The sequence below is a fragment of the Homo sapiens genome, chromosome 18 (genome assembly GCF_000001405.40).
Source record: "Homo sapiens chromosome 18, GRCh38.p14 Primary Assembly".
Taxonomy (NCBI): domain Eukaryota; kingdom Metazoa; phylum Chordata; class Mammalia; order Primates; family Hominidae; genus Homo; species Homo sapiens.
Window position 1 is genome coordinate 79,170,134 of NC_000018.10, and position 12,900 is coordinate 79,183,033.

Sequence of the window (12,900 nt, forward strand, 5' to 3'; positions counted from 1 at the left end):
GCCAAGGTAGGGAGGAGCTGCAGCCGGCCGGTAACTTTCATTCACCGGCTCTGTCCGATGAGCACAAGCTCATGTCAGGCACTCCCCAGAGCCACACTGGGCCTGGGTGGCATCGATTCCTAGTGTGATTCTGAATGAAATTGATGAATGGGAGCACACAGTGATAAACAGGATGGGGAACTCTCCTAGAATGGCAGTGGGAGCCAAGAACAATTGAGATGAGTCTCCTCCTCTGTAGGTGTTGAAATAGTTACAGTGTGCTTCCTGTAGTGCAATATTTAGAGGTTAAGTCCAGTTACTTGCATTATTTATCTCTTTACTGCAAACACCAAATGTTTGAGTCACACTTTTAGGTTGGCCTTTTCATTATTTAATCTAAATGTGTTTTAAAAACAGATTTTTAATCTCTGGGTTTATAATATGATTTTTATGCCATTCTGTAGACTTTGTTTGGGAAAGCATCTTAATATATTTTTTAGGTTTCTGGAATCAAATTGTATATTGTGTTGGAATTGTTGTTTCTGAGTTTAAACATTTCCATCAGTTGCTGGAAAGGCTGGTGTGTGAAAGCCCCCTTCTGGTCCAGTGCAGTGTCAGAGGTCTCTCTCCTGCATGTCAGATTAGTTCGTCTGCTGAGCTACTTGATTATAAGCATTCGCCAGTATAATACTGAGTTCTGAAAACTAGACCCTACCTGATTGTGACGCCAAATTTATTCAGTTTATTAAGTTGTAGGCACTAAAACACATAGTACTTATTGCCTGAATCTTGCTTTCAAAACTTGGAGGAAAAACCATTTTCTTCCCTGGTTTCTTGTTTTTGCCTTGGCTGTGCTGTGCAGCTTTACATGGTATGCTTCAGAATCTTCGTAGATTTTCTTAAGTTGTACCTGAAAGATTCTTTGCTAATGAGCATATTTTGTTTAGTCTAATTGATGCCACCTTCCCCCTATAGTGTTAAGTAACTTTTTTACTTAAAAACAGAATTAAAATTCAAGATTTGAAAGTATATTTGAAATATTTGGAACTTGATAGAGCTTTTTTATTAAAAACCTATTTTTAAAAATCTAGATATTATTTAAATCTGATTGTTGCTTCAGTACCATTGTAGTATATTAGCACTGTTGAAATTTTGTTCATTTCCAAAATTTAAGACTGTTCATGTTTGAGAAAGGGTGTTATGAAGCAATTCACTCGTGAAATATGAATATTTTTATACTAGTATAGTTGAGTTATATAGATACATATTAATAGGAAAGATAGATTGCAGTTCTATTAGCAACCTAAATTGAGAGCTTTAATTTGCTATTTAAAACTTATTCCTAGAGTGAACAACACCTTTTTTAAAAATACATTTTATATTGACATAATTAATGACTCCTGGGAAGTTGCAAAGGTAGTACAGGGAGACCCCGTGTGTCCCTTCACCGAGATTCCTTCAGTGGTTGACAACTTACCTGTAGTAGAATATCAGACCAGGATGTTGACACTGGTACAGTGTGTGCGCGTAAGGCTGTGTTATTTCATCTTGAGTGTGGGTTCCTGTCACCACCAACGCAGTCAAGGTGCAGAACTGTTGCACCACCGTGAGGATCTCCCTCACACTAGCCCAGTGGGCTCAGCCATCCCTCTGCTTCCAGCAGCCCTCACCCTGGGTAACCTTGAATTTGTCTTCATTTCTATAAATTTGTCATTTCTGGAGTGTTATATAAATGAAATAAACCATTCATGACCTTCGGAGACTCGTTTTTTTTTGTTTGTTTGTTTGTTTGTTTAGATGGAGTCTTGCTCTGTCACCCAGGCTGGAGTGCTATGGCGCGATCTCAGCTCACTGCAATTTCCGCCTCCTGGGTTCAAGCAATTCTCCTGCCTCAGCCTCCTGAGTAGCTGGGATTACAGGCACACACCACCATACCCGGCTAATTTTTGTATTTTTGGTAGAGACGGGGTTTCACCATGCTGTTCAGGCTGGTCTCGAGCTCCTGACCTCATGATCCGCCCACCTCAAACTCCTGACCTTGCGATCTGCCTTGGCCTCCCAAGGTGCTGTGATTACAGGCCTAGCCACCGTGCCCCGCCCTTGCGATCCGCCTTGGCCTCCCAAGGTGCTGTGATTACAGGCGTAGCCACCGTGCCCCGCCCTTGCGATCCGCCTTGGCCTCCCAAGGTGCTGTGATTACAGGCGTAGCCACCGTGCCCCGCCCTTGCGATCCGCCTTGGCCTCCCAAGGTGCTGTGATTACAGGCGTAGCCACCGTGCCCCGCCCTTGCGATCCGCCTTGGCCTCCCAAGGTGCTGTGATTACAGGCGTAGCCACCGTGCCCCGCCCTTCCGATCCGCCTTGGCCTCCCAAGGTGCTGTGATTACAGGCGTGAGCCACCGTGCCCCGCCCTTGCGATCCGCCTTGGCCTCCCAAGGTGCTGTGATTACAGGCGTAGCCACCGTGCGCCGACCTTGCGATCCGCCTTGGCCTCCCAAGGTGCTGTGATTACAGGCGTAGCCACCGTGCCCGCCTAGAGACTTTTTCTGCTTAGCACAACACCCTGGAGATCCATCCAAGTTGTTGTATATGTCAATAGTTTGTTCATTTTTTACTGCTAACTAGGATTTCATGGATGGATGTACCACAGCATATTTTAAACCATTCATCATTGTTGGTTGAAGTTTTTTGTTGTTTACAGGTTTTTGTTATAAATAAAACTGCTTTGAACAATTATGTACAGCTTTTTTGTGGACATAAGTTTTTATTTCTCCAGATCGATGTCCAGGAGTGAGGTTGCTGATTTTTATGGTCATTCTATGCTTATTTTAAGACTGACAAACTCTTTTCCAGAGTTACAGTTTTGTTTTACATTCCCACCAGCAATGCCTGGGACATCTAGTTTTGCCACATTTGGCCGATGTTTGATGGAAGCGGTGCTTCCTCGTGGTTTGCGTGTGCCGTTCCGTTATGGCTGGCGACGTTGAGCACGTTCTTGCTGCATGTTTGCCATCCTCAGGACTCTAGTAAAGTGTCTTTTCATGTCTTTTGCCCATTTTCTAATTGGATTTATTTTAAACTATTGATATTGAGAGTTCTTTATATATTCTACATAGGAGTCCTTTGTCAGATATGTGGCTTACAAATATTTTGTACTAGTTTGTAGTTTGTCTTTTCATCTTCTGCAAGGATCTTTACATATTCAAAGTATTTAATTTTATCAAAGTCCAATTGATTTTTTTTTAATGGGTTGTTCCTTTGATGTCCTGTTTAGGAACTCATCTTCCAGCCCTGTGCCCTGAGGATTTCTTCTTGTGGTGGTTTTTTTTTTTTGTCCTAAAAGTTTTACATTGAGATCTGTGGTCTGTTGTGAGTTAATTACTGTATAAGATGTAAGGTTCAGGTCAAGGCTTTGGGTTGTTGGGCTATGTATGTCCAAATGCTCTAGCGTCATTTATAGTGAAGACTCCATTCTCCATAAATTGCTTTTGTAAATGCATCAAAAGTAGTTGCCATACTTGTATGTTGGGGGGACTCTCTCTGGGTTCTTTATTTTGTTCCATTGATCTGTGTTTCTGTTCCTTCTTCAGTATCAAACAATCTTGATTACTGCAGCCATCTGGTAAGTCTTAAAATCTGGTGGGCTGATTTCTCCCATTTTTTCTTCCTTTTTCCCCCACATTGTTTTAGCCATTCTAAACAACTTTTAGCTGTTTTAAACAACTTTACCTTTCTATACACATTTTAGAATAATCTTGCCTATATCTTTAAAGAAAGTCTTCATGGGACAATGATAGTCATGAAGTCTGCACCTGTTGGCATTTATGGGTGGCCGGGTTCTTCATTTGCTAGTCTGAGATAAAAAGGGCAAGATGAAAACAGGAAATCACCACTGTCCTTTCTTGATACCCGAGGAATTGAGCTGGACTGCACTTTTCCTCCTCTTGTAGAATCATCATCATTTTTAAAAATTTAATGTTCAGCATTTTTTGCTTTATTTAGGAAGAATAAGAAAGAGTACATCTGCTCTATCTTTCTGGAAGTAAACTTCCCTTAAAGGTTTTATTCATTTTCTGTTTTTTAAATTGGATCTTAAACTTTATTCTAGGAATTTTCACTGCATGAAGCTATAGTGTAATGGACTGCTGCGTCACCATCGTCCCCTGGAAGACTGCTCATTAAATGGCCAGTCTTGCTTCATCCGTATGTCTCATTTGGATGAAATCCTGTGTATAATTTGATTGCATTAACAAATTCAGCATTTACAGATTACAACCACAATTCCATTATCATACCATAAACTATTGAACAGGGATTTCTTAGATTAACGCTTGGTGAGTCTCCTGGTTTCTGATTGTCTCACACACTTCTTACAGTTGATCTGTTCCAGTCAGGATGCGAGGGCCCTTCTCTTGCGCTTGGTACAGGTGTCTCTCAAATCTGTTTTCTTCTAAAACAATTCCTTCTCTTTCTTTGTTTTTTATTTGTTGAAAAAACAGGGTTATTGGACATAGAGAATATCTGATATTCTAGATTGTGTGAGTGCATACACAAAACAACCATGTTATTAATTAATACATTCCTTTATATCCTGTATTTTTGTTAACTGGTAGGTGGATCTAAAGGGTTGATCATACTCATTTTTGGTTTTCTTTTAGCTTTTCATTTTTTTGGTTAAAGAATACTATAGCAATGCTCCTGTATAGTCCTGTTTCTAACTCCAGGCAGATGTCTACATGTCTCTCTTTTAGTGATGAATAAATACAGGTGCTATCAACTGATCTTCCCAGTGTAAAGTTCTTCATCAGGCCAGGCGTGGTGGCTCACACCTGTAATCCCAGCACTTTGGGAGGCTGAGGTGGGTGGATCATGAGGTCAAGAGATCGAGACCATCCTGGCCAACATGGTGAAACCCTGTCTCTACTAAAAATACAAAAAAATTAGCTGGGCATGGTGGCACGCATCTGTAGTCCCAGCTACTCGGAAGGCTGAGGCAGGAGAATTGCTTGAACCTGGGAGGTGGAGGTTGCAGTGAGCCGCGATTGTGCCACTGCACTCCAGCCTGGCGACAGAGCGAGACTGTCTCAAAAAAAAAAAAAAAAGAAAAAAAAAAACATCAAAACTTTTGAAACCTCAAAAGTCACCTGGATGAATTCTCTCTGTGATTAAACTGAATTATGTTTTATACGCTGCTTTTTATTTTTTAGGAGTTTTTTAAAAGTTTGGTGTAATTTGGCTTTTTAATTATATAAAATGTATCTGGTTTTAAAGTGAACAGTATAAGATATATTCAAAAGGCCTAGCATCTATTCCTGTTCCCTTCCTGCCTCTATAGGTATTATACACACATACATGCGTACACAGATATATGTGCACACACACAGAAGCATTTGCATGCATACAGATACACTCACACACAGAGGCACACACATAGAAACACAGATTTGCATGCCCTCACATCTGTCACACAGATATGCATGCATGCGTACATAGGTACACTTGTGTGCACACAGATATGTTCACACACCAATATGCACACACACAGAAACACACAGATCCTCAGGTACTTGTTCACAGTTATACATGCATATTATACACAGATACCCATGTACACAAACATACACACAAGCACACACAAATACATATGTACACATGCATGTGCACACACAGATACGCTTGTGCACACACAGCACACACAAGTTAGCCATGCACGCGCACACACATATACATGCACACACACAGATACACACATAGATACATATCCACACACAGATGAACATGCATGTATACAGTTATATATGCATAGAGATCTGTATGGACGTATACAAATTCTCTCTCCTCCCTCCCTTGTTCTTAACTATAATGTATTTTTCTATATATAATGTCCTGCACCTTACTTTCTTTATTTCACAATCTATATCCTAGAGATCTTTCCATGACAGTGTATTGAGGTCATCTTGTTTGCTTTACTTTCTTCTCTCTGTATTGCCGTATGTGCTCTGTTTTATTCAGCTCGTCCTCTGTTTGTTCCCCTTTGTTTCACAACAGTCTTCTGTTATTATAAATAATGCTGCAAGGAGCAGCCTTGTGTGTATGTCATTTTGTGCTTTTGCTATTCCATCATTAGAATAGATTCTGAGAAGTGGGATGATAGCACGGCCAAAGAGTAGTGGATTTTCATAATAGAATATCTTAGCATGTTTGAAACTGGATAGGCCTGAGAGCATATGGTAACATTTACCTGGGTCTTAGCATTGTAGCTGTGCTTTTATGATTGAACATTTTTTATGACGGTAAATCTGGTATTTTATTAGCAAAATAATACTATACACTGTTGGATATTTTTGTGTATTTGTTATTTTGTTATTATCAAAACATACATTGAAAGTAGAAATGATCAATGCAGTTTTTCTAAAATAGAAGGCTGATTAATGTTAAACCTTAATAGGCAAGAACAGCAAATAGGAAATAAGTGATTTAAAAAAATATAATGGCCTACATCTTTTCATGAAACCTGTTTTGTGAATCAAGGAACATTGTGTAAAATAAAAGTTTTTAAGGAGTTTTGTTCCTGGGAATATCTAGATTGTTATTTCTTTGTCCTACTGTGCCCTGGAATTATTCTTTGATGGCACCTGTAGCTCAGGAAAAACCTTCTGTAACAATTCAAGAGTGGTAAATTTTTATTCTCTACTTCCAAGGTTCGTGTTTTATTCGAACTGATCAACTAGATGGTGAAACTGACTGGAAGCTGAAGGTGGCAGTGAGCTGCACGCAACAGCTGCCGGCTCTGGGGGTGAGCAGCACCAAGACTACTCCATCCTTTTATCTTCAATGGTAGTTTCTAGGCTTCACGTATATTTCTGTTTATACCAGCTAATTTATTTAATGCATTGAGAATTTGTTTTATAATTTCTTTATTCCTCATGAAGGTTCATTGAAGAATTGTGCCAAAATAATTTCTGTGATGTCTTAGCACATAATCAGTTTTAGGTAATTGTGAATTTTCTTTGACACTTAGGTTTTCTTTCTCCTTCTGCTCACCTTCCTGCCCTTCCTCCCTGTCCTTGCCCCCTTCCCCCTCTTCCGCCTCCTCCTCCTCTTAATGTCCTTTTCCTTTTTCAATTTATTTTATTTTTTAAGTGATAGGTTGTCACTCTGTTGCCCAGACTGAAATACAGTAACATGATCATAGCTCACTGCAGCCTCAAACGCCTGGGCTCAAGTGATGCTCTCTCCACAGTCTCCTGAGTAGATGGGAGTACAGGTGCACACCACCACGCCCAGCCAGTTCTTAATTTTTTTTTTTTTGTAGAGATGGGGGTCTTGCTATGTTGCCCAGGCTGGTCTTGAACTCCTGGTCTCAAGCAGTCCTCTCTCCTTGGTCTTTCAAAGTGCTGGGATTACAGGTTTGAGCCACCATGCCCAGTGATAAATTTTTATTTCTTATTTGGCTGTGTGCTCCTCTCCTTTGCGACTTTGTATTGATATTTGCCAATTAAAAAGTACATACATGCTCGTGTGTGTAGAATCTTTCAAATCAGTAAAACCAGATATTCACAAATGAATATCTGTTTTTAATTTTCACTTAGGCACATAAAAGTGTTTTTCTTTCTTCTATTTTCTCTCTGTACCTCACATGGACTTCATTAGCCTTCAGGTCAGAAGCTCTATTTGAAAATTGTCCAAGCTGCTTCTCTGGGTCAGGCTTCTCAGTCAAAGCCAGGCAGTGAAGTGCTGCTCAGATGATTTGTTTTCATGGGTTTTTAATTTTCAGTGTTCTATGATTGTTTACTTAAATTATCTAGGATACTATGCATAATTTATATGTTTAGAGTTATTACAACTTAACATTTTTCCGTGGTCAGTGAATGAAGGAAGGTAGGTTCTACTGGACCAACAGATGAGCAGATTGGAGAGGTTGGGCAGTTGACAGCTGCCTTTTACCTGCTTGGTGGTGGGTAGAGTCAACCAGGCAGCTATTAAATAGTGAAGTTATATGTCAGGGAGCAGCACCTCCTCACCTGAGGATGGGGCTGGGGTGTGTGTGCATGTGGCAGTTCCTGGATCACACAGTGTGGCTTTCAAAGGAGCTGCCAAACTGTTTTCCAGAGTGGCTGTGCCATTCCCTGTCCTCACCAGCACCGGATGAGTGACCCGGTTTCTCTGTGTCCTTGCCGCCTTCAATGTTGTCACCAGTTTTTATTGTAGTCATTCTGACGGGTGTGCAGTGATATCTTATCGTGGCTTCAGTTTGCGTTTCTGTGATGGCCGGTTGTGTTGAACGTTGTTTTGTGTGCTTGTTTGCCATCTGCTTGTCCTCTTTGGTGATGTGTCCTGTTGACAGTCTCGGAGCAAAAGCATTCCGCCTTGATGTATAATGCTAGCTGCAGCTTGTTCAGGGAGTCTCTGTCAGGGTGAGGAAGTTCTTTCTAGTCTTAGTTTGCTGAGAGGTTTTATCATGAATGGGTGTTAGATTTTTCCAAAGCTTTTCTGTATCTGTAGGGATGATCATATGGATTTTCTCCTTTATCTATTAATATGATGGTATGTGGACTGATTTCATATGTGTTACACCAGCCTTGTATTACTGGCATAAACCTCACCTAGTAGTCATACTGCATGTCTTTTTATTATGTCACGGTATTTGATATGCTGATATTTTGTTAAGGATGTTTTGTGCTGATGTTCATGAAACATATGGATCTGTATTGCTTTTGTTTAATGTCTTTAGTTTGATATCTGGGGGTAGGCTGGCCTTATAATGAGTTGGGGAGTCTTTTTGCCTCCTGTAATTTTTAAAATAGTTGGCATAAAATTGGCGTTATTTATTTTTTAAATGTTGAACAAATTCACTTTTGGAACTATCTGATCCAAGAGATTACTTTTTGGGAAAACACTTGATTGTGAATTGAATTTCTTTGGTATAGAGTTAATCAGATTTTCTCTTCATTGGAAATTTGTGTTTTTCAGAGAATTGGTTCATTTCACGTAAGTTGACAACATTAATGGCATAAAGTTCATAATATTCCATTATTTTTTTAGCCATTTTAGGATTCCTTCTTTCACTCCCAATATTGGTAGTTTATATCCTGTCTCTTTTATCGATCATTTCAAAGAACTTGTTTTTGGTTTCATTGATTATCTTCATTGTTTGTTCATTTTCTGTGTTATTAATTTCTGCTCTTTATTTCCTTCATTCTACATAGTTTATAATTTTTTTTGTTTCTTCCTCCTTAAGGTGGAAGTTAGACCTTTGATTTTATAACTTATTATTTTCTATTTATAAACTTTCAGAGCTGTAAACCTGTTTCCAAGCATTGTTTACCTGTGTCACACAAATTTTGATTTATTTAGTTAAAAATAATTAATAATTTAGTTAAAAAATCATTTTCATTTAGTTAAAAATATTTTCTAATTCCTTCATGATTCTTCTTTTCATCCTTGATTATTTGGAAATACACTGTTATTTGCTAAACAGTTGGGGATTTTCCCAATGTCTGGTAATTTATTGTTATTTAATTCTCTTATGGTCATAGAACATATTCTGTTCTATTTCAGTCCTTTCATATGTATTGAAACTTGTGATATGGCCCAGCATATGAACTCTCTGGGTCAGTATTCCATGTAAGCTTTAAAATAATGTTTGTTCTGCTATTGCCTGGATGTTCTGTAAATGTTCATTAGGTCAAGCTAATGGAAAGTGTTGTTTAAAAAAGTTTTATAGTTGTTTTCTACCATTCGTTCTCTGAATTACTGAAGAAGACTTTTAAGATCCCATACCTTTTGTAGATGGAACTATTTCTCCTTTTGGCTCTGTTACCTGTTTCCTGATCTATATTGAAGCACTGTTACTGGGTTCATACACTTTCAGAATTACTATATTTTGTTGAATTTGCCCTTTCATTATTCCTGGTAATATTCTTTGTTGAGACATCTATTTTGTTCTTTACTATTATAGTAATTTCAGCTTTTTTTAAATTAGTATTTACATGGTTTATCTTCCATTAGTGTGTGTTTTATATATCTTTTTCTTTGAATTTAAAGTGTTTTTTAATGTAATAAAAGTAGGTACTGCTTTTTTTATTCTGAGAATTGCTGCATTTTTATTGTGTACATTTACAGTAATCGTTAATGTGGTTGAGCGGAAGTCAGTCATTTGACTCTGTAGGTTCTACTTATCCCATTTGTTTCTTTTCTTCATCTTTTGGTGTTGTGTTATATTTCCATTTGGCTAATTAGCTATGTACGTTAGTTCTGTTTTGTGTCATTATCATGTTTCCAATGGGTGTTTTTAACTTACCGCAATATTTCTCCATGTCACTTACAGTGTAAGAGTTGTGCACAGTAGATGCCCATGGCTTCCTTCCCATCCTTTGTATTCATGTCAGCTGTCGTACTTCTACATATTATCAGCTGCACCGTGCATTACTGTTTTTTTTTGTTCAAAGTTGTCAAGCATATTTTAAAGATAGTAAAAAATGAAAACAGTCTTTTCTGTTTACCCATGTGTTTGTTTACCTGTTCTGAGACTTCTCTTTCCTGTGTGTTGATCCAGGTTTCCATTTACTGCCAATTTCCTTTAGCCCTAAGAACTTCTTTCAACGTATCTTGTAGTGAAATCTGCTAGAGATTGTCAGTTTTTGTTTGTTTGAAAATTGTCTTTATTTTGCCTTTTTCTTTTCTCATTTTTTTTTTTGAGACAGAGTCTCGCTCTGTCACAGAGGCTTAAGTGCAGTAGTGCAATCTCGACTCACTGCAGTCTCCACCTCCTGGGTTTAAGCAATTCTCCTGTCTCAGCTCCTAGGTAGCTGGGATTACAGGCATGTGCCACCACCACGCCCGGCTAATTTTTGTTTTTTTGTTTTTTTTTTTTTTAAGTGGAGACGGGGTTTCACCATGTTGGCCAAGCTGGTCTTGAACTCCTGACCTCAGATGATCCGCCCACCTTGGCCTCCCAAAGTGGGGGATTAAGGGTGTGAGCCATCACGCTGGGCCTATTTTGCCTTCACTTTTGAAGGATGTCTTGAAGTTTTCATTTATCTTTGCCTTTCAGAGCTTTGATTTCATCTGATGGCATCCATAGTCCTGAAAAGATGCTTACAGGCATTCTTACCCTGACTCCACTTTATCCTCTGTGCCTTTTTCTGTGGGCGTTTGGAAAGTCTTTCCTGTTTTGACTGGCTTTCAGGAATTTAAGTGTGTTGATGCATTTTCATTTGTCTTGCTTGGGTTTGTTGGGCTTCTTGTATCTGGAGTTTCATGGTTTTTATCCAGTTTCAAGATTTTCAGCCTTTATTTTTCTTATCTTTCCTTCTGTCCAAACCCCTCTGAGACATGACCAACAGAATTAGTCTAACTACTAATATCAAGTAAATTAGTCTAACTACTCATATTAAAAAAGAGTAAGAACTTCAATGACATGGGAATATCAAGTGGTTAGATTCCCACATGCCATTGATGCTCTCTTACTCTTCTTTTTCTCAGCCTTTTTTTTCCTTCTGTAACTCAATTTTGATAGTATCTGTTGCTCTGTCATTAAATTCACTAACATTTATCTTTTTCAGTATCTAGTCTTCTGTTAAGCCCACCCAATGAATTTTGTTATTCTGAGTGTTGTAATCTCTGGATGTTTCATACGTTTCTCTCATTTTTGTTGTTTAAATACCTTTTCTATTCTTTCCTAATATGTATATGGCTTCATTGGACTATTTCAACGGTTTGTAATGCTTAATTCCATGTATGTTAAAACTCCTTTATCTCTGTCACTTTTGGGTATGTTTCTATTTAAATTTTTTGGCCCTCGTTATAGGCCCATACTTTCCTGCTTCTTTCCGTGTCTGGTAATTTTTTATTGTATGCTGAGTATATAAGTGTTACATTTAATGTCTGAGATTTTCATTTCTATCTTTAAAGCATCTCGATCTTTATTAAATTAGTTAAACAACTTGTGGGTCAACTTGATGTCTTCAAGGCTTGTCCTTAAACTTTGTTACAGGCCTAGAGGCTCCTTTATTGGAATGCTAATTAATCCTGTTGCTAGAGCATGATCCTGCTGGGATCCTGCTGATGTCTACTGAAATCCTTGCTGGTTCACAGGTGCCTCTGAACTCTGGCTAGTCAAAACTCAGCTCTCCAACTCTGTGGTCTCTGCAGGTGGTTGGGGCTGGAGCTCCGTGGTTCTCCTCCGGCCGGACATACTCTTACCCTGTATGCTGTGTGTACTCACTTTCAGTAACACTCAGGTGGAACACTTTGCATATTTCTGCAATTCTGTTTCTTCCTTGCCTCTTTTCAGTATTTTGCAAATGCTAGCTGTCAGTTTCCTTGAATTCTGGTCTCAGTCTCCTAAATTCAGAACAGCTGCCTCCCTCTGCCTGGCTTCTGCTGTCTAAAGTGGTAAATCTCTTTACCTGGGCTTATGTGGGGCACATGGCTTTGTTTCTCCTCTCCCTGGGGCACTGTATCTAGTGTCTGAAAATAGATACTTTATAAATATTGTCCATTTTCCAGTTGTTTTCATGGGAGGACAAGTCTCATATTAGTTACCACAACATGACTTGTAGAAGCCCTTGATTAATTTTTAATGAAAAATATTAAGTTCCTTGTGGATGAAACAAACTGCATGACATTTCAAATTATAATTAAACTAAAACAAACAGTTATTTGTTTATTGAGAATTTGCTTGTTGGTAGGGATCTACCTGCTGGGAGGCCTGTGACTGCCCTGCAGAGCCTGGATGCCGGCCCTTCTGCCACCTTTAGATGTTCCTGCCCTCTCTTCAGGGGCATTCCTTTAAAAAAGAAGTGGATGTCAATTTTGAGTCCTGATTCTAATAGTAATGTGTGCATTGAAAATAATACACAAATCACAAAATAGAAAAAAACCTGCCAGTCTGCATTGGCCATCAGAGCATTTTGGT

The 12,900-nt window shown here is 38.9% G+C and overlaps 1 protein-coding gene across 35 annotated transcripts in view, besides 1 other annotated feature; it reads left to right on the forward strand.

The window, feature by feature from the left end:
- Window positions 1-12,900, forward strand: part of ATP9B (ATPase phospholipid transporting 9B (putative)) — a 308,890-nt gene that overhangs the window by 100,740 nt on the left and 195,250 nt on the right. For 33 of the 35 annotated variants that reach the window (NR_148360.2, XM_017025726.2, XM_011525963.3 and 30 more), the window contains one exon: window positions 6,680-6,774. The exons of 1 other annotated variant lie outside the window; for it this stretch is intronic. Coding sequence is in view for 33 of the 34 variants with exons in the window: in XM_017025726.2 (XP_016881215.1) it covers window positions 6,680-6,774 (95 nt within the window). In the remaining variant the exon portion in view is untranslated. One more of the 35 variants, XM_011525973.3, reaches the window with a different exon arrangement.
- Window positions 11,762-12,330: an enhancer, noted in NCBI's record as "OCT4-NANOG hESC enhancer chr18:76941895-76942463 (GRCh37/hg19 assembly coordinates)". NCBI's record gives its function as "activates a minimal SCP1, AML or CMV promoter by ChIP-STARR-seq in naive H9 embryonic stem cells {active_cell/tissue: H9 hESC(naive)}" and the evidence as "EXISTENCE:reporter gene assay evidence [ECO:0000049][PMID:30033119]".